A 27,817-nucleotide genomic window follows, 5' to 3' on the forward strand; every position below is an offset into this window, starting at 1 on the left:
TCTTGTCTGAAGCTTCCGAGGCCTTGATTTCCCACCCTCTTTTATCCCATCTCCCCCTTTTCGGTGGGAATGCATCATAACCATTAGGCTCTGTGCGTCTTTGTGTCTGTCTCTTCGTCTCTGTCACTTTTCCCCATCCTTTTCCCTTCCTGCCCCCACAGAAGGCTGTGGGGCCCCAAAGTTTCTCTGGGATGTCCCCACTCCGAGCCCAGCTCAGGGGCCTGCATGCCTGCCCTCCACTGCACCATCTGGGGGATGGGCCGGATGCAGCCCTGATGCGGAGCTTGCGCCCAGGCCTCAACAGACTTGGGGCCACACTGCAGCCGGACAGGCAGGTTCCAGGTCCTAGTCGGCTGGGAAAGAAACAATACTTAAGTAAATGAATTCCAGCTCCAAAACCCATTTAGGAAAATGAAAGCAGCTTCTCCACGAACCTTCTCAACGTGATTACGACTGGAAAATTGAGCAAAATGTACCATATCTACCTTATTGGAAACCAAAGTACGACGCGGGGAGCGTACGGCTCAATTTAAGACCTTTGTTGTGCTCCTTTCCCATCTTACCCTGGCCCCAAAGAGACCCTCTGGTTTATATTACTTTTTTGGTTGTTTACTTGATTTTTTCCCTCACTGATTTCAAATTTGCAGCATATTGAGCGTATTACGGGAGATGCAGTAGGATCTGGAATTTCCTTGCACATAGACCTGGCCCTGTCTTGGAGAAGGCTGGAGCTCACACAGGGAGACACAGCCAGAGAGAAGAGGCTGGGTCTGTGTGGTCCTCGGGGAGGGCTTGGAATTGCTCCCAGCTCAGAATCTCCCTGCCTGGGGTTGGGAGGGTGACCTGGCAAGCCTCAATGGGGCTTCTCCCGGGCCCCCTCCTGGTCCAGAGGATGCCTCCCTTTCTCCAAAGAGCATCTTCTTTCTCTGGCGTGTCCGTGGGCCCCTCCAAGCCCACTGGTCCCCATGGGTGTCATTAGGACTTGACGGGCCCACCCTCTCCTGCAGCTGCCACTGCAGGCCGCTCCTACTGAGGGGACTCAGTGGGCTGCTCCTTGGCCCCCTAAGTCAACACAGCTTGGTGCTACTTGGGTGGGCATGGGAGAGCAATTTGTGAGCCCAGCAAGTGAGCATCAGAGCGGGAGCCAGGACCAGGCAGTGAGGCCTCTGGCTTGACCCAAGTGGTGGGACCCCAGGCAGGGCCTAGAGAGGCGGAGGAGGCTCCAGGGAGGGGCTCCAGCGGGGTGGTTATGTGGTTCCCTGTACTCAAGGTTGGGAAAGGAAGGAGTTTTTTGGAGAGCTTTGAGGACGACTTAGATCCCGAGATGGGGGAGAGGGAGATGGAAAGAGAGGGGGAGGGAAGACGTGGAGAGAGGGACATCCCCCCTCCCATTACCTACCCCGGGGAAAAAGCAGGAAAACCAACACATTTAGCGCCATTAACTCTTAAGGCCTCCACATTTCCTTCGGTATAAAAGCAGGTCATTGGTCCCGGAGGCTGTGCCGGGGCTCGTCAAAGGCTACAAACAAACCGGACGGGTGGGAAGCACGTTTCAGCGGCGACTGGATTTTTAAAAATCTGCTGGTAGAGTGAAAACAAAAATTGTCCTCCAAGTTGGCAAAATCGGCGTCCCAGACGGTGCGCAGGAGGGCCCTGCGAGGCCTGTCCCCGGAGCCCCGCGCCAGTCCTGTAGGCCCGGCTGGGTCCGCAGCCCGGTGTTCCACTCGTGGGTCGGGCCCGGCTGCGGGGTCTTTCCGCAGCCGGGACACCCAGGACAGCAGCGGCTGGGGAGCCGGGGCCAGGGGCTTCCTTGCAATTCCAATGATTTTTATTATTATCACTCGCAAAGGACAAACGCGGCCAAGGCCGGGCCTCACAGTGGCTGTGCTGGTCATCGCGTGGAGGAGTGTGCGCTAACCCAGGGGCGAGGGGGGCGCGCCCGGTGTCCCGGGGAGAGCTTAGAAGGAAGACGCCCCACCGTGGTCCCTACAGTCAGGGACAGTCTGGGTGCTAGAAATTCCCAGAGAGAACTCGAGGGGCTGATGTCCTGGGTCACCAGTCCCTGGTGCCTGTGGGGCTTCCTGCGCGCCCACCCCCATCCCCCTCCCCCCTCTCAGGTTCGACGGATTCTCCCGGAGGCTTAGGACAGTGATTTACAGTAAGTGGTGACAGTGGAATAACGTGACAGTCCGCTGCATTTGCCAGCTGGCTCCTGGGCAGGCCTACCCGCCGGGCCCGACCCCAGAGTCGAGTCCTCGGAGCCGCCGGGTAAAGCCCCCTCCCCCGCCCCGGTGCAGCCCCGCGTTCCCCGCGCCCGGCGCTGCCGGGGAAAAGTGGCACAACAGGAAAGCCTCGCCAGAGGGCCCTTCCCAGTCGGCTTCCTCGCCATAAAAAGCCAGACTCCAGCCGAGGTCCTGACCCCTTCCAAATATACGTTCCCTTGCCCGCGGCCCGCCACTCCCGCCCGGGCCTCGGGCTGTGCAGCTTCCTCCTAGGCCTGCCCGGGCCCATGCCTCCCCCGAAGCGGCGGGAGTCGGTGCAGCCTCAACTTCTACTGCGTGTCCCAGGTCGCCAACCAGCTTTGCTCGCGTGCCGTTGGCCCGGAGGCTGCCGCGCCAGTCTCTGCGTGCGCCTGAGCGCGCTGGAGCATTTGCGAGGCCAGGGCTGCCGACGGCGAGAGGATACTTTGAGGAACACGGTGCTTCAGTCCCGCCCCCGCTCTCCGCCCGAGCTGGAGGTTGGGGCGCGCTGAGCCGCAGCGCCTGGACAAGTGCGCGGGCCGGAGCCGCCCAGGCCTGCACCCGGGGGCTCGCGGCCGACGCATGCGCACGCGCGGTGGCGGGTCTGCAGGCCCGAAGGCCCGGCCCCTCCCTCAAACCCGGAGCGGGGAAGCCCAGGGGCTGAGAGCCTCGGCCCGGGTCGCAGGAGCTGGGGAGCGGGGACGCGGGCAGGCTAGGTCTTCCCACCTGCCGTCGGGGCTCCTCCCCGCAGCAGCAAAGGGGTCCCAGTGCCCGTGGCAGTGCATGCCCCAGCGGACACGCTGGCTCCCAAATTCAGAGATCAGAGGGGCGGCTGAGAACGGGGCGTCCGCTGTGTGTGACCCCTGACCGTGGAGGAAGGGCGGGAGCCGGGAGTAGGCGGTGGGGCCCGGGGTCAGGCCGCGGTCGTCGGCTCCCGGCAAAGGCGCTCTGGCCGGGGAAGGGGGCGAGGGTGGGCGGCCGGCCTCTGCCGTCGTAGTCATACCTGGGACGTTGAAATGGGCTTTGGGGATAGAGCTCACTCCCAGCGCGCCCCACAGGAGAAGCCCGCAGCTCAGGCCTGGGCCGTGCAGACCGCTGGGCGGGCTCGGGGCCCGAGGAGAGCAACACGGCGCGAGGTCCAGTCGCGAGTAATAACCCCGACAGCACGGCCCCTCGAAGACGTGTTCCGGGCACCGGGGTTGTGAGCGGGGGAGCCTCGGGCCTTGGGCCCGCTTGGCACGGGGCGGGGGCGCCTCCTCCAACTCCTGGAGATCAGGCCCAGACCCCGGGTGTTCTCAGGGGACACACTGTGGACGGTGGACCAGTTCCTAGCGCCGTTTTGTCCCCCATTGCCCCTGCTGCTTGTTAAAAGTATTAGCGACCCCCGTGATGGCAATCCACAATTTTTGGAGGGTGCGGGTGGCATGTACGGACGTGAAGGTCTCTTTGTGAGGCACGTCCACGCACACACAGGGACACTCATTTTGTAAAACCTAGATGGGCGCTGCCACCACCCCTCCATGCCACCCGCGTACCAATCAAGGATGCAGGTTGTAGAAAACACCTGGACGTGTGTGGGCTGCACCTTAAAACAGAATTCACCCAGTAGGCACTCCCAAATCCAAATAAAGTGCGTAGGGTGCTTTGAGACTTGGGGGGAGGGGTGTTAAAAAGTTACTTGTAAACAATACATTTAAGGTTATTTTCAAGTGAATGTTTAAAGTGCTGCCTGCTCCAAGCTCTAATAACACATTAGTGCGATAATAACACTCCTTGCATCTGCCAGGAGCCCTCCAACTGGCTGCCAGAGGTTCCACGAGGTTCGCGGTGGTTGGTGTAGGCGAAGGCTACTAAAAGGGGCGAAAAAGAACCCAAAGCCATGCCTGTGGGGTTTGCCAGCGCCGACCCGCTCCTCGCCAGCGCCCGCGGCCAAGCGGACCCGGCCTTCCGAAGGAGCCATCTTGCGCGCAGCAGCAGCAGCGGCTGAGCCTGAGCCCCTAAACAGCTGCAGAGGTGTGACAGGTTTATTATGCTGGGCCTAGCTCGCTCGCAATTCCTTAAAGACAAAGGGCAGCAGAGAGAGCCCGCGACGGGGCCTGGCCTACCCGGGTTCCACGCACCTCCTGCACAAACTCGGGCAAGATTGCTTTGCCATGGTATGTGAGTTTAACTGAAGGTTTAACTTTCTCAGTTTTTCCTTAAAAATATCAAGGTGGAAGATGTTTTGTAACATTTGAAACCAACAGCCAAAGTCTGGCAGAGCAGGAAAAAATAAGTTTACTGAAATTTAATTGAGATTTAAGATAGAAGAAACCCTGTAATAAGAATTGTCTTGAAGGATGTCCAAATGAATTTCTCTCATAGCACAGAAATAGATAAAAAATGCCGAAGTAAATCGATTCTCCTTTTCTCCTTTTAAACCACATACACCAGGAAGCCAAATGAACTCCCGCTCCTTCCATTACTCAGGGTGCAGGAGCAGTGAGAAGGTTGCAACCAAAAATACTTTTTAGTTTCCTTCAAACATGGATGCTGCCATCCGTTTGGAGAAGTAGAATTCAACATCATGGCTCAACTGGAGCTGCATAAACCCCTGCCTAGAATCTCTCCTGATTCTAGGTGTCCAAACAAGCAACACTGAATTAAACAGGGCCATGGCAAGCCTGAGGGCCCCTGGAATAGTCTCTCCTGGGTGTGGGAAGGGAGGTTCCGGTGGTCAGAGGAGAGGGGGTGCCTGCCCATCAGGGTCAAGGCTAAGAGGAATGTGACTCTTTGTGAGATTTGTTGGAGGATGTGTGTGACAGTGGGTTTGGGAGTTGGGTTTGCAAGTGTTTGTGAGAATGTGTGACTGTGAGATGGCATGTTTGTGGAGTGTATGTGCACTTGTGAATGGATGTGCATGGATGTTTGTGTTCGAGCCAATGTGTGAGTATGTATCTGTGTGTGTGCCCACTATCCCGCCCAGGCTGAGGCCCGGCCTCCCAGCAACCATGTGTTTCCAATTAGCAGCATCCCGCCTGGGAGTGCAGAGAAGGCGAGTCCTGGGACAGCTTCTGAGGAGCGGGTGGGCTAGCTCAGGCCCCCCAGTTCTGCTCCATCGAGGGCGAGGCCGCCCGGCCAGCAAGCTTTCACAGCAACTGGGCAGCCACACAAAGAGCCCTCTCTCCTGCGCCAGTCGTTGGAGACTCGGTCCTCCCCCAGATCATAAACCTGCCTGTGAAGACGTTCAGAAATAGTTTACCCGCACTCACACACACATGTGCAAAGGCTGGAATTCCATTTGCTATAAAGTTTTATTTTATTTTGCTTGGAAGGGGAGTGAGGGGGAGAAGTGTCCTGACCTAATTTGTTCTAGGGCAAAATACTGTATTTCATGTGGAGGTATACACCTGTACATGAATCCTTGCTTGCTGCCTGTGGGTGTCCTGCACATGTGTGCGTCAGCCTACCTGTAGCTGTACACCATACACAGCTCAGGAGCACACACCTGTGGTCTTACCCAGGCCACCTAAATGATGCATGCAAACAAACCAGATCCAGAGATCTGAGGCTGAGCCTTAAACCTTTTTATTATAGCTTCAAATTAACGCTGATGTCGTTCAAGTGCATAGCACAATGTCTGGCATGTATTAGGCACTTAACATAAATGGCTGAATGAATACATTAAACTGAGATTTAAAAAGTGACCTAGTAGTCATAAGAAGAGGCTGCAAATAAGCACTGTGTAAAAGATTCTAGACCACAAGGAAAGGCACAGGCTCAGAGACCTCTAGGTAACTTGGTGGCTTTGCCATGGAATGTTCCAACAGTATTTGCTTACCTTCAAGTTTCTTCTTCTGACCCCCCTCTATTTCTCAAGACTTCTTTTTCAGATGGGTGAGAGCCCTTGGGTTCTAATTATAGTCAGCAGAGACCAGCCAGGGTGTGAATTCCTCCCTTCTGCAGGAACTAGGTTTCCAGAGTGACTTGTCACCAGGAGGGGGAAAGAAATGTCCCAGGCAAAGACTAAGGAGGAGGCTCGCCGGAGCACCCCCGCCCCCCTTAGCCTTGCAGGAGTCCTCCCACCAAGGGCTTTCTCAAAACAGGGCAAGGCCTGACCACAGCGATCTCATTCCAAGGCCTGGATTGTGGGGTTGTTTGGGGACCCCTATAGCCGTGTTCATAACTTGGGAGAAAACATCCACACTGACCCTGTGAATGCTAGTTCACAGAAAGACCATTTTTAATATGAAAAGAGAAAAACAATTTGAAGGCCCCACAATTTGTTGTGTAACAACATAATTTCAAGTAAAGTGAATGTGATTAAAACATCTTGATTTCACAAAGCCATTCAGAGGAGGCTTCGACAAACGCAAAGCGACCCAAACCCTGGAGGGTCACATCCCGGCTGCTACAAACCTCGGCGGGGCGGCCCCGCTCTTGCGGCCGGGACAGCGCAGCGGCAGCAGGGGCCGCAGGGGACCCGCAGATTGGCACGCCGCTCCCCATCCCCGCAGCGCGTCTGCACCGGAGACTCTGCGGGGATTGTAGCCGGAGGGCGGGCCGGGCTCCGAGGCGCTGCTCAGGCATTGGGGTTTGTCCTCATGAGCTCCACGTCGGCGTGCACCATCTCCCTCACCAGCTCCTGCAACACAGGGGTGGGCGTGAGGGAGGAGCTTCTGCCACTCTCTCCTGGTGACACCCCACCCCGGGTGTCGGCCCCAGAGAGGCCTCCGCGTCCCTCGTTCCAGCTCCCCTCACTTCTCCCGCACCCCGCCTTCCGGGCTTTGGGCATCGCAGGCGCCTCAGGCGCCCGACCCTGAGAGCTGCCGCCCTGCAGCCCGGGGCCCCGCAGCGGGCGGCGTGCGCCCTAAGAGATACTCACATCGAAAGCGACCCGGGGCTTCCAGTTCAGCTTCTGTTTCGCTTTGGTGCAGTCGCCCTGCAGAAAGTCCTAGGGAAGAAGAGGGGGAGACGAAGCAGGCGTGGGTCGTGGGGGTGGGGGCAGCAGGTCCCGAGCCCCGGGAACTCCCACCGTTCCGCTCCCTCTGGGCGCACAAGGCTCCGGGTTTCCCTGCTTTCGGTCCCTGCTGTGCGCGTTCAGTTGCGGCTCTCGGCGCCGTAAATCACTAGGTCGCGGTTAAGAATGTGCTGTGCGGACCCGTGAGGACCGTGACCGCGATCCACCCCCAGCTACCTCCACACCTCTTCTCCCCAAGGCGTCCCTTGGGCTCTTAATGCTTTTTTTTTTTTTTTTTTTTTTTTTTTATAACATGAAGTTGTCAGGGACGCTCCTATGAGAACTGTTTGGAATTGCTGCACTTCTCTGGCTAGGAGGGAAGTGAGTAAATCACCAGGCGCCCCTCCCAGCTGCCCGTGTCCCTGCGCCGCTCAGCTCCTGCCGCAGGGCTGGCCGCGCCAAGCGCGCGTCCTACCCAAAGCCACCAGCCCCGCGGGGAAGGGACTCGGGCTGTGGGGCGCGAGGCCCCAGGACTCGGGGACCCCTCTACCTCGGCGGCAGCGTGCGACCCTCTTTCTAACGCGGCCGTGGATGTTTCTTCCCGGGCCGCAGCCAAGCGCGGTTCTTCCTGGGCGGTGGCTTTGGGCTTTTCGTACCCACAGTCAAGTCAGTTCACGTCGCCTCCCGCACACACGCGTTCATAAAACGAAACTGGAGTTTCACGAAGCAATTCTTAGGCTTAGCGTCCAGGAACGCTGTAGACGGTCTATTCTATTCTACCCCTATTCTACTCGGTTCGATTCTGTTCCTAAGAAAATGCCGATCTCGACCCACTTGTACTTCCACGAGCGGAGCTGCAGCCAGCAGCTCTGCAGGACCCCGCACTGCCCGCCACCGTCCCCTCTGGCAGTGCCTTCCTCCTCCCGCTTTCCCCAACTGCTCCACTCGAGGAAACAAGGGCATTTCATCTCCATCGACTTAAGAGGCTTCCCTGGAAGGAAGGCTGGCTAAAAGAAAACCAGCGGAGAAGAACTTAATCCTGCTCTCAGCCCCTACTCACCAATGTCTTTCTTACAGCTCTGTGAAGACTGACTGACATGAAGGTTGAGATGAGAATTTCAAGATGAATTACAAAATAGGAAAGAAGGAAGAAAGGAGGAAAGGAGAAAGGGAGGAAAGAAAGGAGGGAAGAAAGAAAAAAGACTTTGAGATACATAATTGCTAGAAGTGAGATAAATATTTAGCTTTTGCATACACAAATGTACTCGTCAAATAACACATCAGATGTGATTCCTCGAAATAAACCGAACGCAAAGGCCGTACGAAAATAGCCGATCTTTAAAGGTGAGAAATACTCGATCATTCTATTTCAGCTACATACAAATTAAAGAACAGCCTAAAAGGAGTTTCATCGTGTGAAAGTAACAGCCAGTCAAGCTGCCACTGAAAGCCTTTCCTGCTTATTTTCTTCAGACTTCCCTGAAACTTGGCAGGTGGGGAATTTGTTCTAGATTCATGATGGTCGAGAGGGCAGGGGTGGGACCTGCTTTGCCCTGGGTTTGGAGCTCACCTTCTCTGCTGAGCCTTCTAGAGCAGAGGCTGTCTGGATCCTGCTGAATGTCTGCACCGTGGGCTTGCAATGGGGCTGCAGCAGTACACGCAGCGACTCTCGCTGTCGTTCTCATCATCCATCACTACTTTTTCAAACGCTTTGCATTTCGCAATACACTGAAGTACCAGTTTCCTCCCCAGAGTGTTAATAGTACTAAAACAAGTTATTTCTGCTGGCCCTAAAAGTCCATATACAGATTCTTCAGGAAAAGTAGAATACAAAAAGTAGTAATTAGCAATTTAACATAGCGCTACAAGGAAATAGCAATATAAGCAGAAAAACGAAGTAATTTATTTTTCTTTCCCCTCCCTAAATAAACTTGTATATATTTCTACAGGCTTCTATTTTGCTATAAGCGTCACACAAAGATACTCATTCTTTTTCCCCAGAGGAAGCTGTGCAATGTGGAGTCATGCAGCCCATCCCTCCCCTCTCTCAATCCTATAGCGGCTAGACGGTGTGGAGAAACATGGTTATTGTTTAATCACATCACACTGGCTGTAAATCAACCAGCACGACATAGGATGCATTTCATGGCTGTGAACTCATAGTCAGCAAAACCCTAAAACCCAGTTTGGCTTCAAATAATCTTGGTAGGCTTGGGAAATGGAGCTTTGTATTGTAATTATGTTTCCTGTAGTTTTCTACAAGTAGCTCACAATATAAAAACAACCAGGGAACTACAATTAAGGAAAAAGAAAAATGTTTTTCAAAGGCTTAGAAACAGACCTTGCTACCATACACTGTAAAAGTATTTCATTGAAACCAGAGACGCACCCAGTTAAACTTCTCAATTTAGTTTTGAGCCTAGCTCCAATACTGCAGTCTAGCTGCTTCCTTTAACCTTCTGCCAAGGCTCTGTCTCCCTGAAATTTAATTAGACCAAGAGACCTTGGGAAGAAAAAGGATGAGGTCCCCTCAGAACAAAACATTGGCTCTCTATGCCAGCTGTTCCTAGGCTGACATCTGGACTGGGCAGTAAGCTTATGTTCCAATCAACTTTTAAGGAAAGACTACGAGCATCCCAGCTTGTTTTACACTTAACTGTTCCTGAAGGAATTTCTTACTTCTTCCCATTGTGTCATTTATAGAAAAGATATAGTCAATGGTTCATCCTGCAAGGTTCTAGGCACAGGACATACTTAAAGGGTGGCGTGGGGAGGGCCTGTGTGGGAAAGCGCACACAGCTCTAGAAGGAGAGCAAGGATGTGGATTCCCTTCCTTAAATAAGGCTTCCTCTGGGCTGAGAAGGAATTAGGTGGTGGCAAATGCTCATACAACGGGGTCCAAACTGCTGTGCTCAGATACAGAACTGTGAGGAGTGAGAGGGGAGCGTGGGCCATGATACACGTCCCTTTAATCTTTACCTCCCTCTTAAAGATTTTTGAACTTCCACAAATCCCCTCCAATAGGGTATAATCAGCTCCTAAGGACAAGAGAGAAGAATGAGCTTATCTACTGTGCTCTTTTCTTCTTTTTTGACAGTTCGTTTCCTTCATTATACATATGCTTACAGCCTTAGTATGACAATGGGGGCAAAAGCTGAATTAAAGTGATGATTTTATGTACAGCTTCCCAAAAGGACTTCCACCAGTGCAACTGGGTGGTCTGGAGCTTTTCTTGAAAAAAGAGAAAATAAAGCTTTGAGAAAAATTTAAAGTATTTCTATGTGAATATGACATTTCCTGAACTCTGGCTTCTGGTGTCTTCACTGTTTTCATTGCTATTCCTTAGGTGAACTATACGGTTTCAATATGTAATTTATAATTGTCAAATTCAATTAGGTTTCACTGAGCATTTCACAGCAGCAAAACAGCAGGAGCAATGTCTCCGTCCACACAGCCCTCCAGATTTCTGACTCACGGACTGTGTGTATTCATTTGACCTTCGGGAGTTGTCCTTTAGCTGTACCATCCAGGCATACATTTACAGAGCTGCAAACAGCAGCATGGAGGAGGGCATGTTTGGCTGCAGCCATTTTTTAGGCTTTCCTGGCTTACGTTCTTGTTAAAGTGAACTGATAAAGCGCCAGACCAAATGCTGGAAAAGTCATTAAGCCTGTTTCTGAGCCCACAGTAGTTAACGCAAACTCCAGAAAAGGAGAGACCATAGTGTGCCATTATCTTCTACCCTAACGACAGGTCCCTTTCCTCAGATCTCTCCCATCTAGATAACAACGCAGCTTTAAAATCACACTGGTTAGTTTTCATTCCTTCCCCCGATGTTATTTTGATCCTTCTTTAACACATTTATTGCCTGGGATCCTCCCACCTCCATATCACTTTCTCTAAAACCATTGTGGGGAATGCTATTCAACAGACTGTATCACATAGGATGATTTTTTGAGGTTCACAGTCTCATTTCATTTTCTCCCCTTTTCACTGAGTTTGCTTTGGGAAAACTTTAATATTTAGTTCAAACTAGGTGTTGGATGCCACATTTCCTCAACAGGTCTGCTTATAAGGTTTGCAAAGAACATCTGTTTAGGTGGAGAAATATTCTAAGAGTATGAGATCTTTTGGCAGATTATTGTTAAATTTCTAATGTACATCTTGGAAGAAATTGACTCTTGATGCCCTAAATAGGAGAAGATGTATGGACAGGGATGTTAATAAGGAAAGCCGAGACTGATGAAAGCCTTGGCGAAATATCTTCAGGAATTTAAGATACAGAGCTGTGAGGGGCGCTTAATATTCTTTTTTTCCCTTCTACTTTTCTTAGAAAAGCAAAATTGAGGAATAGCTCAGGTTCCAAGGGAATAAAAGAATGCCAGTGAATTTGGTTCTTGATCCAACTTTCTGCTAGTGTAGAGTGAATAGGAAAGCTTGACTCTTGGGGCAATGTTTCTTTTTCAGAAAGGCAGAGCTGCTAAACAACAACAAAAAGCCTCAGGAAAAAGCTCTCAAGTCTCACAGAGTATCCTAGTCAAGATTCCAGATAGTTGAGAATAAGACTGGGAAATAACAAAAAATGAATTCTGAAAGATCCCCCAGAAAATTTGCAATATACGACATCTCTTCTTGGGTGTAGCTTGAAGCCTTACATGCTCACGAATTTATCCTTTGGTTTAATCCTTCCCAAAGAGGGAGCGAATGTCCGAGCAGTAAGAAATGCTGTGGTGTTAACAGCGGTAATGAACATTTCCCCTCTGTTCCCTTACTGCTGTCTATCCACACAAACTGAAGTGGAAGTCAGACCTCTCCTTTCATGACAAGGGGCAATAAGAGAGGAGAAGAAAACAGCAGGCGGTCCTGTCTGCTCAGGAAGCGGGACTCGGTGGGACTGTCCGTAGGCAGAGCTCAAACAATGCTCAGGCAGCCTCAGGGAAATGGAGTCAGTCAGCACTGGCCCGAGGAGGGTGCAGGCAGTGGAGAGGAAGTGGCAGAGGGAGGAGCAGGCCCTGCACCATGGCCTCGTCCGTGGCCACCCTTATGGAGGCTGCCGTGTGGCAATCAGCGACGGTGTAGACTTGGAATAAAACCACCACTGGACACTCCCACTGTCGCCACTGTCACCTCTGCTGGGAGCCTCCTTAGATGACTCCGGACGTGCGGTCCAGTCCTCCTGCATGGTGCCTAATGGGCACTTTAAAATCCTCTGACCACCCCTCTCGCCGATCCCACTTTTCTGATGGGATCTCGGTAGAATTTGTCATTTGGGATCAGCGGCTGTTAAGCACTACTAAACAAATGGAAAGAAATGCATCCATCCGTATGCATGCCCCAGAAACCAGCGACAAAGTCCGGCTAGTACAGTAGAGCTTTCGTGGAAAGTAAATGAGAACGTGGTCTTCATTATATGCCTACTTGTCAATAAAGCTTAGGGTGGTAAAAAAAGTTACAGGTGTTCACTTCAGGAAAGGAGAACTTAATGGCATGTATAGTGCAACCTACATATAAATGGATCTTTTTTCATTTATATTTTAAAAATATGGTTGACATAGTTGACATAAAACAAGAATTGTAGTTAAGCAAAAAGGGCTCATAAGCTACACAGACAACATAATTATTTAGGAGAAATACAGGATTTAAGCAAGTTAACTTCCTTTTAAACAAAGTTTTAAAACATATTCTGGAGAAAGCCCTTTCTAGCAGACATGCTGGAGATGTGTGGAGATGAGTGCGGCGGTCCTCTTTCCTCCATGGGACGAACCGCATGTGGCCTATGCAGTTTATGCCACCCCAAAGCTTGTTCCTTTCCCCAGACCAGGCGGTTGCCCTGGCTGTGTCCGCCTGCCCATTGGCTGCCTGGCCTTTGACTGGGACAGAGGAGCATGCTCCCCACCTCCTGAGTGGGGCCCAGCCCAGGAACATGCCCACTGTCTGCCCTGTCCAGCCCTGTGCAACTTTGAGGCCTTCCCCGTTCAACCAGGCAGCAGTCTGAGCCAGCTGAGCAGAGGAAAGCACTTCTCAGAGGCTGCGCTGGGAAGCTTTTGGGGAGCTGCCTACTCATAGGTAGGTGTCTAACAGGTTTCTTTAAATGAAATAACCATATAAGACTTTGGGGATGTCATCTTGCATCATACCTATTTACAAGGTGCTGCGTCTGTCTGTACCTGTTCTACATCTGAATTGCAATCGTGGAGTTAATTTTTTGTCAGCTTTATTTCTTGATCCGGTGCTTACAGTAGCATCAGCCTGGGGAAAGCTAGATTAATGACTGTAACTAGAGCCCTCTTGGTTCCGGTTAGTTCACTGATCTCCACTCTGACGAGCTGAGATGGGGGGTGGCTGACTCATAGTTGTGATGCGGGGGCCATTTAATGAAAAGGAGATAAGGTTGTCAGTGACCTCAGCATTCCAGGCTTCAAAGCCAGCACCATGTTGGTCGGAAATTACTGGTTACTGTTAATAACTGGATCTAGGGTGTAAAGATTTACCCATGCTGGAAGGAGGTGGCAAAACCCCGAGGACAGGAGATAAAGCGCCTTTGAGTGGACCGATTAGGGACTCTTGTGACATCGCTGGCAAGTGGCACCCTGGATACAAGAGGAAGGCCGCTGTGCTCTTGCCACTTAGGGCTTTCTACCCTCAAAGCGCTTTATAGACATCAGCTAATTAAACCACAAAACAATCACATCCAAAATGCAACTTAAGAGATTTTGTATCTGTTGCAGGTGGCCTCTTTCCTAGAGATGAAAGTTCTGTGCAAAGCAAAGTATCTCGGAGGTAAAAGCTAAAGTACTTGTCATCTGGCTTATCTTTACCCCGCACCTTCTCATCTAGGAATGCCTACCTAGGCCACAGGGGATCCTGAATTGCATAAGAGGAAGGTAATTTTCCTTAAGCTTGTTTCCTTCTAGTTTGTTAGGAAATCTACCCACCTCTTAGAAATGTCCCCCCCTCCGCCCCACCACCACTGCTTCGGACATGAGTACTACACAGTACAATGTAGATGGGGTTTTTTTCCTTTGTGGTTTTTCTCAATGTATACAGTATATTAAGTCCTCCAATTCAACACACCTCACTTCAATAATCCTTCCTTCCTCCCTCCCTCCCTCACTCCCCTTCCTCCTTCTCCCCAATCCAAATATAAATAACGTAACAGGGTCATTCAAACAGGGTCTATCAAACATATACCCACAGGCTCCTCCAAATATTCATTCCCTCAGCCACTTCTTAAGCAACTCAAGGCCTAGCCAAACACCTGACCACATCCAGATTCTTGCTTTTTGGCCATTTCTCTGGGGACTTTTATATTGGAGAAAAGATTAAGACAATTACTGTGATATCTGTTAGCAAATTTTTGGAGAGGTATGGAGAGGAGATGAGCATGATGACAACTCTTTAGGTTTACTATAATTCTGTTATCACTCATTTGGCCACCCATCATCACAGGAAGGCTCAGAGGGTTTTGTCAGGTGTCTATACTACATGGTCACCTGGCATTCCTTCTTTACATCTTCATGAGAGGAACAAAGTCCTATACCGAAATGTATCTGCAGAGGTATTTCAGCCAAGTACTTGAGAATGTCACAAAGTCATCTAGTGGTCAGGTTCTGCCATTCCTAGTCCAGCAGTCACAACACTCAATAGGACAAAACCCTCTGTAGAATGTGTTGTAAACAATACACTTTACACACATTAATTTGAGTGGCAAAGAGGTCTCTAAGTAATAGATGGTATCAACACACAGAAATATCAACTTAATGCTGGATGGAAACTGACACAGAAGAGTCCATATTGTACATATTGTATGATTTGCTGTATGTGAGGTCCCAGAAGAGGCATCCATGGTTATAGAAACGAGACTGGAGGACAGGGGAGGAGTACTGACTGGGAAGGTTCACCAAGGAACTTTCTGGAGTGAGGAAATGCTCCTTATATGAATAGGAGTGTCGGTTACAAGAGTGTGTGCGTTTGTCAGAACAGATCAAACTGCAGTTCAACATTTGTGCATTTCACAGTATATAGATTTTATCTCAACACAAAAACGTGGCCAGGCATGATAGCTCATGCCTGTAATCCCAGTGCTTTGAGAGGCTGAGGTAGGAGGACTGCTTGAGGCCAGAAGTTTGAGACCAGCCTGGGCAGTATGGCAGGACCCTGTCTCTACAAAAAACTTTAAAAAATTAGCTGGGTGTGGTGGCACTTGCCTGTGGTCCCAGCTACTTGGGAGGCTGAGGTGGGAGGACTGCTTGAGCCCAGGAGTTTGAGGCTGCAGTGAGCTATGATTACACCACTGTACTCCAGCCTAGGTGACAGAATGAGACTTCGCCTCTAAAGGAAGAAAAATTCGTGGACACAACCAACATGGCGGCATTGCTGGAGAGACCTGGAATCACAACGTGGCTCAACCACTTAACTCTTTCTTAATAACTCTGAGATTCAGGTTTTAAATCTGTAAAACGGGGACAGCAAGGCTTGCAAAGTTGTGTGAGAATTCAAAATTGCACAGCTGCTTTTAACAGCTAGAACCATTTCTAATTCATCCTATACAGGCTTTCCATTGAGGCTATTATTTATCACTAAAATGTAGGAAAAACGATTCTTTTCATTTCTTGCAGTAACATCATGGATGAAGATGTAATATTTTTAAGTGGGCTGTTTTATAGTTTTTCTTTGATACTTACATGCAACTTTTACCCTGCACCCCAACCCTTCCTCTAATTTTAGATAATCATTTTCTGAATAGCTGTAACAGAGTGTAGAAGATTTTGTACTCTGCTGTCCCTCAATTTCTGCAAACATTTCACAGTCTCTTGCTTGCTTGTTGCCACATATTTACTGCTTTAAGCCTTGGAGAAGCAAACGTGGACAAGAGAAGGCCGTGGCTGTCATGAAGCCCATGTTCTAGGGTCTGGCAGCACAAGAGTTGGCGGAGACCTGAGTTTCGGCTGATGGGAGTGCGAGGGAGCGACTGCAGAGGGGGCTGGCTTGTTGGAGGGCGGGAGGGCACTCTGTACTGGCTGGGCGGGGAAGGCCTTCCACAGAGGTCACTGGATCAGAGATCTGCACAATGTGCACGGGCCGGTCACAGAAAGATCTGGGGTGTGAGGGTCTCTTGGGGACACTGCAGGTAAAAAGGCCTTAAGGGAACCCCGGAGAGAAGGCTGCTGTGACTGGGCATGGGGAGTGACGGGGAGAGGAGCCCATGACCACGAGGCTGGGAGGGACACAGAGGCAGGCACTGTTGGCCTCCCGGGTGGTTTCTGCCATGGAGCCCAGGCCTTTCCCAGCAAAGCCACGTGGTCACAAGGCTCTGCTGTCTGGTCACAGTGACTGCCTTGGAGTATCTACCGCCTGCAGGCTGTGGCTGGAGGTTGGAAAGCTGGCTACCTCAACCTGATGGAGCTTACAATTCTGACTTTCTGGTGCCAATTTTTGAAAGTATGGAACTGACTATAAACTGTCATTTAGCTGTGTGTCTTTTTAAAAAGGTGGACGAGTCGTTCTTGCCCTGCATGGCCCAACTCTAATACATAATCCCTCTTCCCCTGGAAAATCTGCCACTCTTTGATGTGCTTGGTCCACCTAACCTAAAAGCACCTGGCGACTCAGGTGCTGGCCACTGCAGCGGGACTGCACCCAGCTGGCCCTGAAAGACATGGAGACTAGGGATCACCAGAGGCAGTAACCTGGCCATCCTATTCCAGCACCTGCTAGGGTGTGCTGTGATAGGGCTGTCCCTCTTCTGGCCAAATGAGGACACGCTCAGCCTCTGAAGGCTACTGAGATGCCGCTCCACCCTTCATTTCCTCCTGCCTGAAGTGAAGCTGTGACCCTGAGCTCCCCTTGCTGGTTAAAGGCCTTCTCCTTTCCCAGTAGCTCTCAAGAGGATGAGGCACAGCACTGAAACCTGTCTGTGTTTTGAAAACATTTTTACCATACTCTTGTGTGTATGTGTTTTTCTCTGTCTCTCTCTGGGTGTGTCTCTCTGTGTCCATGTGCACTATGTAAAAGTCCACTCGTTTACAGTGAGAACCCGCTCACTTTGAACTCCATCCTTTACCGGCCCAGCACATCCAATATGGAGTCTGGGCTTTGCTTAGAGCCACAGTGGGGTTTTAAGTGCTGGGGGCATATGCTGCGATGCATGAGTTCAAAGATGCCTGCAGATGCTGCCTGTGGGTTAGAAAGAGGGGCAAGAGCAGGGGAGAGACCAGCTAAGAGACTCCAGTCACAGATGTGGTGAGAGACGATGGTGGCCTGGACACGAGGGGTGGGGAGGGGACATAGCGACGGAAAGGCGTGGGTGAACTTGAGATGATCTTGGAGAAAGAGCAGAAAAGGCCTCCCTGGGGTTGGAGGCGGTGGTGGGGGAAAGAGGACTGACAGAGAACTCCTAGGATTTTCATCTGAATGAGAACGTTTTTATTGCTTTCAAAGACATTCTACGAATCAACAATGCCAGAAGCGAAGTTCTCCTAGTGGAGTCTGCGTGTGCCTCTCACCACAGCCCTGCCAGCATTACGTGTCATCTCCTTTTTCACGATTTCAAGATTAGAGAACAGGGACTCTTCCAAAAGATTACTTCTAGAGAATCACCTGTGATCTCTCATATCATTCCATGGAGCACGCCTTCTTGTTTTGATCCTGATTTGAGGCCAAAGCCTCTCTGCTGAGCAAGTCTGCTTAGCTCTGGGAAAGGGGCTCCGTTTCACATGTCCTGGCTATGCTCCTGTGAAAGGCAGGCTGAGGGGAAACAGCTTGTCTTCTTCCGTGACCCTGGTCCACGGGACAGGCGAGGAAAGGGTTAAGGCAAGCTGTGTCCACTGCGCAACCAACATGGCCCACTTTCATCCTCCGGCTGCAGCAGGAGGAAGTCCGAGAGGGGGCCTTTCACATGACATCATAAAAGCCTGATTTATCGCCGGCCACCAAACATCTAGAAAATCATAACATCCTTTCAGGAAAATGCAGTGGAAAATAATCAGGCTGACTTTGATGGGAGCTTTGGTGGGGACTCCGAGGGCGACACTGTGCGGCGACCCTTGGCAGGTGCTTTGTTTGCCGTCGGGGCCAGCCTCACTGACAAGGCTGAGGGTCTGTGCTGTGCAAAGCCCACCGGGGGGTGTGGCCCTCAAGTCTGCAGATGCAAACGAGAGCCTGGTTCATACTCTGCCAACTTGCCTAAAATGATACTGCGGTGGATGTGAAGGCGCTTTGGAAAAGACAGCTCTATCCAAATGTGAGAAATTACTGATTACAGCCTTGTACATAACCCACAGCCACTCCAGGCAAGCAGGGCCCAGCCTCGGCACCTCCAGCACTGCGTCTGGGAGCTGCTCTTCTCTGCTCTCAGCTGGGGCTATCTTTAGGACACTACTGTTTGGTTAGAGCCCTTTCCTCACAAGGCACTTTTCCTACGTCGCATTTCCAGAGTAACCTGCCACCGTGGCAGCCCTCCTCATCACAAAGAGGACTAGGAGACGACAGAAAAGAGACATTCCCAGAATGTCAGCGGAAATAGAAATAAAGGGATGAGATCCGCGTGCCACGAGGAATCTGTTCCAGGAATGTCTGCATCTCTTCGGTGCTTCTCTTGCTCAGTAATTTGATGAAACCACCAGCAGGAACCTCTTCTTTGATGTGCACAACATGCTCTCCAAATAAACACAGGAAAGAGGGACAAGGGTGGCCTAGAGTGTGGGATAGTTCTAGAAATCTGGCCACATCAATTCTAAAAAGCCTGTTGGCGTAGAAAGTAGGCCCATCTTTGCAAAGTAATGCCCACTCTGAAGGTCTTGGGATTCCTGAGTTTGGAGAAGACAGACAATATAAAGATTGAGCCAGGGCTGACAAAGGGCTAGCCTGAGGCTGAAGTTGGGCAAAAATCAACCCTTGGACTCAATTCAAAGTTACTTTCACTTCATTTAACTGTTATACAAGGAAGCGTGCAGCATGAAGATCACTCACAAGATGATCAAGAGACTCATGTGAGAACACAGCCACCAACACCTCTCTGGCCGTCCTGAAGGTGCCTGGAAGGTTGGTGCTGATGCGGCCCCCATGGAGGAACGGGCTCCCATGGAGGGATGAGCCCCCAGGATGGAGAGCTCAGGGCCTAGCCTGACACCATGAGCCTAGGATTGGGGGCACTGGCTGCCACACAGGCAGCCCTTACCACGCTACGGTTATGTCCTTGCAAGTTTGATTCTTACCCGTACCAGTGGGCCCCGGAAGGTCTGCCCATGCCTCACCTGCCCAAGGTTCTGTGCAGGAATGGGAATGGCGTGGAAGGCAGCAGGGAGGAGAGGTGAGGCCTAGGCCTGGCCCTGTAGCACAAGCTCTGAACCTGGGCTTGCCTCACCTGCACACGGGGGATCGCTGGGACCGGAAGAACTCTAACGGCCCCTCTCCAAGCTACTGCTTGCCATTCTGCCAGGCCTGCTGGTGCTCGCATAACACCTTGAGACTGCTTCTTGCCTTGGGGACCCCGCACTGTGCCTCCTAGCCCAGCGCCAGGCATGGCTCCAGGCAGCTGTGGCAGCAGAGTGGTAGGACTGAAGGTGTCCCAGCTGGGCTCCATCTGGCTCGTTGTCTGCACTGAGTCTGAGTCAAGCCAGGTGTCTGGGGGAGCTGGGTGACTCAGCAGATTGTCAGGTGGCAAAGGGTGGAGAGGCCTCCCTTGGCCCTGGTCTCCCTGCACCTCTGCCCAGTAAGGCCTTTCCAGGCATCTCTCCAGGCCCAGGAGCCCCGCAGCTGGGCATGTGCTTCCCGGCCGGCCCCGCAGACAGCACTTGTGAGGAGGCAGGTGGCCTGGAGGGCAGAGGTCTGACTCAGTTCTGGTGTGCTGAACAAGGCCCCGAGGAAACTACTGCTTCAAACTCTCCCCCGTGAAGGCACGGCTGGACTTCCGGGGAGCTGTCACCTGTGCCAAGTCAGGCTCTCTGGGTGCTTATGCTCTCTCGTGGCTATAAAGCGGACACTTGTGGCACCTTATTGCCCTGGGTGGAGCAGGTCACTGAAGCACTTGCATCACACATAAATAATGGCACAAGGGGAAGCACGTTCCGCACCAGCACAGATCATAACCAAATGCCTGACCTACTGCAGACTGTTGTGGGGACAGAGGCCTCCATGCAGAAGGCTCCCAAGGGGAGTTCCCTCTGCAGTGGGCCAGTCAGTCCCTGCACTGGCTGTTCAGAATGGGTTTTTTACCAGTTTAGACAAGGGTTCCCCGAGGGCCCTTAGACCAGCAGCAACATGCCCCCTGTCCTTCAGCCTTCTAACAGTCCTACGAGGTAGGCAAGGAAACGGCGGTGCTGGTAAGTGGGTAACTTGCCGTGTGCCACTCGAGGTGGATCCTGGATTCAAACCCAGGCTTATCTGACTCCAAAGACTAGGTTACTAGCCCATTAACCTAGACCACCTCCCCTGAGGGTCTTCTCTCTTTAGTTATGTGTGCTGACACTTGGTAACAATAAATGCAAAGCCATGCGTTCACCACCAGGTAGAGGCTGAGGTGTGTAAAGAAAGCATTTGCCAACAACACGGACAGAAGAGAGAGAATGTGCTTCTGCGCTACAGGGGTCCAGATTAGATTAGAGCAGAGACAGGAATGGAACCTAAGAGTTAGAAACAAAGGTGGGGGGCATGAGAGACACCAGGCAGAAATGAGCATGGTCTCTTCATGTCAAAGCCCCACACTAAAAAAGCCTGATGCCGCCCTGGGTTTAGAGCAAAACAAAAATTCCACTGCTTTTCTCCAGCTGGAGATGAATGGTTTCACAGAGGGAACCCTGGCTGAAGAAAAAGCATCTTTGATTTGGTTAATTAACGTAGCTTTCTCGAAAACACTGATCAGCTCCTCGAGTGCCAGCAGGATGGCCATGATCCTGAACTTTATACTTATGAGCAGCTTAAACACAGGCCACTGGCTGTGTGCCCATGGATTCATTCTATGCCCCACCCCCCCAACCCCCGACACTATGAGGCCGTGAGACTCCCAGACTTCCTCAGGCAGGACTGGGCTCTGGGGGGCATTATTCAAGGAAGTATTGCCTTTGAGGATGGCAAGGAACACTCAGAGCCACCTGACATGGGAACTCTGGGGTTTGGGATACTACCAAGGGACCTTTGCTTGGTATCTGTTCCCTTCAGAGCACTCTTTTCTATGAAAGGAACCCAAGTCACAGAATTAGAAAGAACTCTCTGGGTCTTATTAATGCTACCACCATGACTACTAACAGAAACACAAATATTCCTTAGGGTGTGGAGACTGAGGGAGACCATGTTTTCAGGTCAATGGGACCTGCATGAGTAGAGTGAGTCTGGAGGTACATAAAGACTTTATCTACAACTACTTAGCTCATGAGTCTGGATAGTGAGAGTGCAGAAAGAAAGAGACACCTTGAAATCTTCTTATTCCATCCTGGCCAACATTCGTTCATACATGCAGTCAGCCCAGAAGCTCAAGGTCAGTGATGGAGACTGACATAGATGGTGATCTCCGACAGGTACCTGTGTCTGCGGCAGGCAACAAGGGCAGGCTAGCAGATAAGGAGGTGGGTGCCTGTGGATACGGGGAGAGGGCTCAGGCTTGAAGAGGAGCAGGAGCGGAGGAGAGAGGGCTGTGTGGTGGCCTCCACAACGCACCATGTTAAGGATGCCACTGAGGCACTTGCAGAAACAGATACTGGGTGACGTGCCTAGCATTTTCCCACTGGGGGAAGTGGAAGGATTAAGCTACCTTCACAGTGGGACGCAGGAGGCGCTCACAGGCCAGTGAAGTGAGGGCTCTTGGGAAATACTTCCCAGAGAAGATATTCCCTGAGCTGGGTTGTGAGGAACGAGCAGAAGGTAGGGAGACGAAGTGCAAGGCTAACAGTCCAGATGCAGACAGCTGTTCAAGGACCCAGTGGTGTTAGAGAACCTCCCAGAACTGCCCCGTTTAGTACGGCTGGGGGCCAAGTGGAACTCTCTCGTTTGCTGAATGTGGACCCCCCAGGTGCAAAGCAGTCATCGCCAGCTGAGCATGAGCTTTGGAGTCAGATCCAAGCTGAGGCCGGGCACGGTGGCTCATGCCTGTAATCCCAGCACCTGGGAGGCCAAGGCAGGTGGATTGCTTGAGCTCACAAGTTCGAGATTAGCCTGGGCAATATGGTGAAAGCCCATCTCTACAAAAACCAGCCGGGTGTGGTGGTGCATGCCTGTAGGCTCAGCTACTTGGGAAGCTGAGGTAGGAGGATGGCTTGAGTCCGGGAGACAGAGGCTGCAGTGAGCCAAGATCATACCACTGCACTCCAGCCTGGGTGATAGAGCCAGACCTTGTCTCAAAACAAAACAAAACAAAATGAAAACACAGATCCAAGCTGAATTCCAGTTCTGCCACTTACTTCCTGGATGCCCTGAACCTCACTGGGCCTAGGTTCCATGATGTATAAGCCTGTTGAATGATATCGACCAATGCTAAAGATCAGAGATAAAATCAGTGCCTGATGTTGGGTAAGTGCCCGACAGACAGCAGCTCCTGCCACTGCACAGTCAGTGACGGCTCTACTGGGGCCCAGGGGATGCAGTTAGACCCCAGAAGGATGTACCAGTCCATGGCACCAGCTCGGCAGCACTGTTGCCCAAGGCTCCCCCACATCACTCTTCAGTTCTAGCAATCTGCTGCCCTCCTCATGCAGTTGGTTCCCGACAGCCTGGAATATGCTTCCTCTTCTTCACTGAAACTGTGCCCGTGGAGAAGCACATGGGATTTAGGGTCACAGAGACTTAGGTTGACACTAGATTCACCACGTTTGAGGTGGCTTGGTGTCCTCATCCTCAGGCATGCCACACCTGCAGGTGTGTTATGCACCTGTCACGGGGTAAGGCCTTCCACGTATGCTCGCTCTCCTCCTGCCTCAGGTCCCTCTTTAAGTGTTGGCCACTCCCCAGCCTTGAACCTCCCTGACCTCTCTGCTGAGCGGCTCTCTGAGGCTATCCCATGCCCGTGGAACATGCTGGATGTGGCTGTGCCTTCTAGGTGCCCGTTTTGGAGAGAATACATTTCTTATAAACAGCAGGGCAGGCTGTCTCAGGTGTGGTTCCAGAGCACATGGAATGTGCCCTTGCATCCCCACAGCGCAGGCCCAGGGCTGCCGACACAGCAGCCAACCAGACACACGGGGAGCTCATGTTCTACTGTGGGGGCACTGTCAGTAAACAGGCAATCAAGGAAACAATCAGGTGGTTACAAGGCCTCTGATAAAAAGAAAATTGGGTAATGGGGGGGGTCACGAATGCCAACACGGTACTGTTTAGGCAGAGTTATGATTGACAGTGGGGGCTGCCCTGGGTAAAGCTTGAGGTGGAGGGAGCAGGCTGGGCTAGGGCCCTGAAGGGCCGGCTGGTTAGAAACCCTGAAGTCCAGAGTGACCCCATGGGGCTGGGGTCAGGGAAGCTGTTACAGGTGGCGTTGGCTCCACAGCTGTGAGAATTATTTCTGGCTTCCTCAGGAAAGATCCCTGTATATATTTCTTCCTCTGGGTGCTCATTAGACCCTTTGCCTGCAGATGGTCTTAGGAGTTCCCTTGGGGAAACTGGTGGCTACTCACATGCTGGAGATTGGACTGGACTCATTTTGGGACATCCTGAGACATGCTGTCATTCAGGGGCTTCTGGGGCTCAGTGAGGTCCTCATCCATTCCTGTGCACCCTGGAGGTCCTGAAGGATGTAATTCAGGGGCTAGTCTTGTGTTCCTCAGGGACAATCTATGTCACTGTCACGTTAGTGAAGATAAATGGAGAGAAATATGCCCTGCCAGCTGGTGGCACTCAGAAAGTGCCATGGAGCAGCACAGCCTGCGTCTCAGAATGGACAGGAAAAAAGCTTTATCTTCTTCCTGTCAAAGGAGGGAAATACCTTGTGGAAGGTCAGGGTGCCGTGCACCTGGCAAGTGCCTGCCTGACCCCAGCCTGTGGCAGAACCTGAAGGGCCACTGCGATCTTTATCAGGTGACTCAGTGCTTAGCACTGGGGAAGGGCGGAGCATGGAGCAGGCACAGAAGGTCCCGTGGAGAGGCCCTGAGCAGCCCAGACAGGAGCGCTCCATTCTGCTGCTCAAGGCATTACCTCCAGCAGTCAGGCGCGTACAGCTCGCGTCTCTCGGATGATTTCTCTCTCTCTCTCTCTCTCTCTCTCTCTTTTCTATCCCTCTTCTCTCTCCCTTTCCTTCTTCAGGATTTAATTAATTGAAAGTCAGGTTTTTAAATATTGGTCAGCCTCCTGTTGGATATTTGGGGTCTGCCCTGGGGCTCCCCCACGCATCTCTCTGACTTACCTTCATGAAAGGTGAAGCGGAAATACCCCAACAACTCGGCACACTTCTTTTGTCCCAAACAGTGGAAGCACACTAGGAAGTTCTCAGAACCCCGAAGAAGGCCCTCGTTTCACCTGCTCCTTCAGGATGCCCCTGTCCTTTCCTACTGGCCCCTGGCTCAGAAAGATCGCCCTGCGTAGCACTCTCCTTTTCATCCTGTCCTCGCTCACTTGGAACCCTGCTCTTCAGAAACTAAGGGGAGCGCAGCAAGCCTCAATTCTCTTGAAATCTGGGCAGTTTCCATCTTTTTTTTTTTTTTTTTTTTTTTTTAAGAAAAAAATAGAGTCTCACTCTATCGCCCAGGCTGGAGTGCAGTGGTGTGATCTCGGCTCACTGCAACCTCCACCTCCCAGGTTCAAGAGATTCTCCTGCCTCAGGTTCCCAAGCAGCTGGGACTACAGGAATGTGCCACCACGCCCGGCTAATATTTTTGTGTCTTTAGTAGAGACAGGGTTTCACCATGTTGGTCAGGCTAGTCTCAAACTCCTGACCTCAAATGATCGGCCCACCTCGGCCTCCCAAAATGCTGGGATTACAGGCGTGAGCCACCACACCCGGCCAGTTTCCGTCTTTAAACCTACCCCAAAGGTTCTATAACTGTTGCTCAGATTTGTCTGAAAATTTTGGTTTTGTCAGGGAGAAAATAAATTTCTCCTTCAAAATCTCCACCTTCCCCCTAAGGTGAAGGTCAACCTGGTCTTTGTCCTCTAGGTTGGAGAACGGGGTTCCATGGTGACCATCGTCCTGAGTCCTTATGCATAACAGACGTGGAGTAATATTTTGACTTTATAAAGCCTGCTTCATGATGGCTTCTTGTGTCTTTGTGAATAGCACAGGTGGGCAGCTGTGCTGGTCCCATGTGGGCGACAGGCAAGCTGGGCCTGGACGGTCTGTCTCTCCAAGTCCAACAGGAAGATCAGGATGGGCCTCGGATCTCTGCTCCTAAAGCCGGGCCCCACGAAGCCCCTTCCCTTTACTCCTTATGGAGTCCCCTTCCTCACTGAGTTTTTTCCCCTATTTTAAAATAGCTCTTCACAGAGAATCTTTGGGGGCTTTTAAACAGCCCTGGTCTTAGCAGAGTTAACACAACCACATCATGAGGGATCTGCTGACGAGGGGGGCATCCTGCAGAGCCGGTCCATACTTCCTTTTATTTTCTTATCCTGAGTCTCTTCCCCTGAGTCTCCCCAGAGAAACTGGTGATTCTCAACACATCCTGTGGAGTTTGTGAAAAGTGGAGCTTGGTGAGGTCCTCAGCCAGGTGAGATGTGCCGGAATCTCCAAGGGTGCCCTCATAGAAGGTGTCTGAGGATTGATTCACCAGACCAGACAAGTGTGGGGGGCAGGGACAGCATCTCACTCAGCTTGGTGTCCCTGAGACCCAGCCCATTTGGCAGGACACACAGGCATTGTAAGGAAATGCAATTTCCTTACGCCTTCCTGAAAACGAACCCTGACTGCCCACGGGGCAGCTGAGCCCCCGAGGCTCTGTTGCTGCAACTGTGCTCATCTCCAGGTGGCTGTCAAGGTGCTCATGCCTTCCTCGGCTCCCATGGCATAAATGAGGCAAGGAGAGCCTTCGAGAGTCCTTTTAGTAGAGTAGGATGTGGTTACCAGGGCCTTAGGCAGTTGTGGGGATGCTGGTCAAAGGATACACACCTATAGCTAGGTGGGGACAGCGGAAGTTCAGAATCAGCAGATGCATAGAGACAGGGGTGGAGAGGTGACCACCTGGGCCACGGTGGGGGGGACACTGGGGACTGCTAATGGTTATGGAGTTTTTGCCTCCGGTGATGAAAATGCCCTAGAGTTGATTGTGGTGATGGCTGCACACTGAGCAGACTAAAACCCATTGATCATATACTTTAAGTGGGTGAACTGTATGATGTGTGAATTATACCTCAATAAAATTGTTTAAAAATTAAAAAAAGTTGAAAGTCTCTTCCCAGCTCCCCTCCCCTCTAAAAAAAAAGTCCTTTTAAAAACCCTGAGAGGAAACAAAGGAGCAAAGCACCCTGCAGGTGGGCCCTCTCTAGAGGCCAAGCCTGACTCCTCAGCTGACAAGGCTCCCAGGGCGGACGGCCCTTACCCAGCCCCCGTTGTCCCCAGACACCTCCCCTCTGAGCCCCAGGGCCCAGCGCTGTGACTGACATTGCCCCGTGTCCTCGGCCTGCTCTTCTGGCAAGGAACCCCCGGTCTGAGGTAGGTCAGCACGGCACCTCAGCCTGCAGATACTAGTAGCCTGCAGCCACCAGTATGAGGATCCACTCTTCCTCCAGGGACCCACGCGGGGAGGGCCCTCCACCGCCAGGGGAGACCCCTGATTCCACCCGAGCGAACGTGTGAACGATAGCGGATGGCACTGCAGCTGTGACTAGGGCCTGTCAGGTGGACTGCAGATTGCCACCTGGAAGCCCTCTGCTGGGCATCCAAACCTGCCCTCAACACAGCCAGAGCCTTCCTGCCTTCCTGTTGGCGTCTCACCATTGCCATAAATAGGCTGCATATGAGCCGCTAGGCTGCACTCCCCACAGGCTCAAAACTTTGCTGCTGCCTGCACTTTGCTCCTGCCTTTCTCACCACCTTGCACTTTTTCCTCCCTTCCCAAGTTCCCCAGCTGAAATTCTCTCCACTTTAGAAGACCAAATTTGTGCTCTAAGTCAGCCAACATTTCTCAGCATCTCCTGTCGGGAGGAGCCAGGTACCGTCCCACAGGGAGCTGCTCTAATCCCTGCTGCCCGCCCAGGAAGGAGATCCCAAGGTCCCTGATTTATGGCGAAGAGGAGGGACTGTGAGGTTTTCTGGTGACCACAGAGCCAGGGTTCACGGCCACCCCCACTGCCGTTTCTTGCACCTGTACTGTGAGCCTTGCACCCACTGCAAGCTCTGACAGCTTTGGCTCTCAGGGCCTGGCCAGCACCTACATTCTGCAGATGAGGAAGCTGAGGCTTAGTGAGTAACTTGCCCAGAGTCACGAGGTTAGGAAGTGGGGTGTATCAGGATGAGATTCAGACTCTGGTCCTTTTTTTTTTTTTTTTTTTAAACGAGACGGAGTCTTGCTTTGTCGCCCAGCCTGGAGTGCAGTGGCGTGATCCTGGCTCACTGCAACCTCCACCTCCCAGGTTCAAGCGATTCTCTTGCCTCAGCCTCATGAGTAGCTGGGATTACAGGCATGTGCCACCACGCCCAGCTAATTTTTGTATTTTTAGTAGAGACGGCGTTTCACCATGCTGGTCAGGCTGGTCTCGAACTCCTGACCTCGTAATTCACCCACCT

General features: G+C 51.8%; 1 protein-coding gene across 4 annotated transcripts in view, besides 7 other annotated features; it reads right to left on the bottom strand.

The window, feature by feature from the left end:
- Positions 1,242-2,104: an enhancer, noted in NCBI's record as "H3K27ac-H3K4me1 hESC enhancer chr6:1618844-1619706 (GRCh37/hg19 assembly coordinates)". NCBI's record gives its function as "activates a minimal SCP1, AML or CMV promoter by ChIP-STARR-seq in primed H9 embryonic stem cells {active_cell/tissue: H9 hESC(primed)}" and the evidence as "EXISTENCE:reporter gene assay evidence [ECO:0000049][PMID:30033119]".
- GMDS (GDP-mannose 4,6-dehydratase) overlaps positions 6,439-27,817 on the bottom strand; it is a 621,800-nt gene continuing 600,421 nt past the window's right edge. For all 4 annotated transcript variants that reach the window (NM_001500.4, XM_011514500.2, NM_001253846.2 and 1 more), the window contains 2 exons: positions 7,105-7,173; positions 6,439-6,864 (listed from right to left, as the gene is read on the bottom strand). In NM_001500.4, the coding sequence (NP_001491.1) occupies positions 6,802-6,864; positions 7,105-7,173 (132 nt within the window). In that variant the 3' untranslated portion in view covers positions 6,439-6,801. The remainder of the gene's footprint in view (positions 6,865-7,104; positions 7,174-27,817) is intronic.
- Positions 7,121-7,230: an enhancer, noted in NCBI's record as "active region_23865". NCBI's record gives its function as "activates an Ori minimal core promoter by ATAC-STARR-seq in GM12878 lymphoblastoid cells {active_cell/tissue: GM12878}" and the evidence as "EXISTENCE:reporter gene assay evidence [ECO:0000049][PMID:35858748]".
- Positions 11,700-12,627: an enhancer, noted in NCBI's record as "H3K4me1 hESC enhancer chr6:1629302-1630229 (GRCh37/hg19 assembly coordinates)". NCBI's record gives its function as "activates a minimal SCP1, AML or CMV promoter by ChIP-STARR-seq in naive H9 embryonic stem cells {active_cell/tissue: H9 hESC(naive)}" and the evidence as "EXISTENCE:reporter gene assay evidence [ECO:0000049][PMID:30033119]".
- Positions 12,628-13,554: an enhancer, noted in NCBI's record as "H3K4me1 hESC enhancer chr6:1630230-1631156 (GRCh37/hg19 assembly coordinates)". NCBI's record gives its function as "activates a minimal SCP1, AML or CMV promoter by ChIP-STARR-seq in naive H9 embryonic stem cells {active_cell/tissue: H9 hESC(naive)}" and the evidence as "EXISTENCE:reporter gene assay evidence [ECO:0000049][PMID:30033119]".
- Positions 16,357-16,857: an enhancer, noted in NCBI's record as "H3K4me1 hESC enhancer chr6:1633959-1634459 (GRCh37/hg19 assembly coordinates)". NCBI's record gives its function as "activates a minimal SCP1, AML or CMV promoter by ChIP-STARR-seq in naive H9 embryonic stem cells {active_cell/tissue: H9 hESC(naive)}" and the evidence as "EXISTENCE:reporter gene assay evidence [ECO:0000049][PMID:30033119]".
- Positions 19,209-19,740: an enhancer, noted in NCBI's record as "H3K4me1 hESC enhancer chr6:1636810-1637341 (GRCh37/hg19 assembly coordinates)". NCBI's record gives its function as "activates a minimal SCP1, AML or CMV promoter by ChIP-STARR-seq in primed H9 embryonic stem cells {active_cell/tissue: H9 hESC(primed)}" and the evidence as "EXISTENCE:reporter gene assay evidence [ECO:0000049][PMID:30033119]".
- Positions 26,530-27,477: an enhancer, noted in NCBI's record as "H3K4me1 hESC enhancer chr6:1644131-1645078 (GRCh37/hg19 assembly coordinates)". NCBI's record gives its function as "activates a minimal SCP1, AML or CMV promoter by ChIP-STARR-seq in naive H9 embryonic stem cells {active_cell/tissue: H9 hESC(naive)}" and the evidence as "EXISTENCE:reporter gene assay evidence [ECO:0000049][PMID:30033119]".

The sequence above is a fragment of the Homo sapiens genome, chromosome 6 (assembly GCF_000001405.40).
Source record: "Homo sapiens chromosome 6, GRCh38.p14 Primary Assembly".
NCBI lineage: Eukaryota > Metazoa > Chordata > Mammalia > Primates > Hominidae > Homo > Homo sapiens.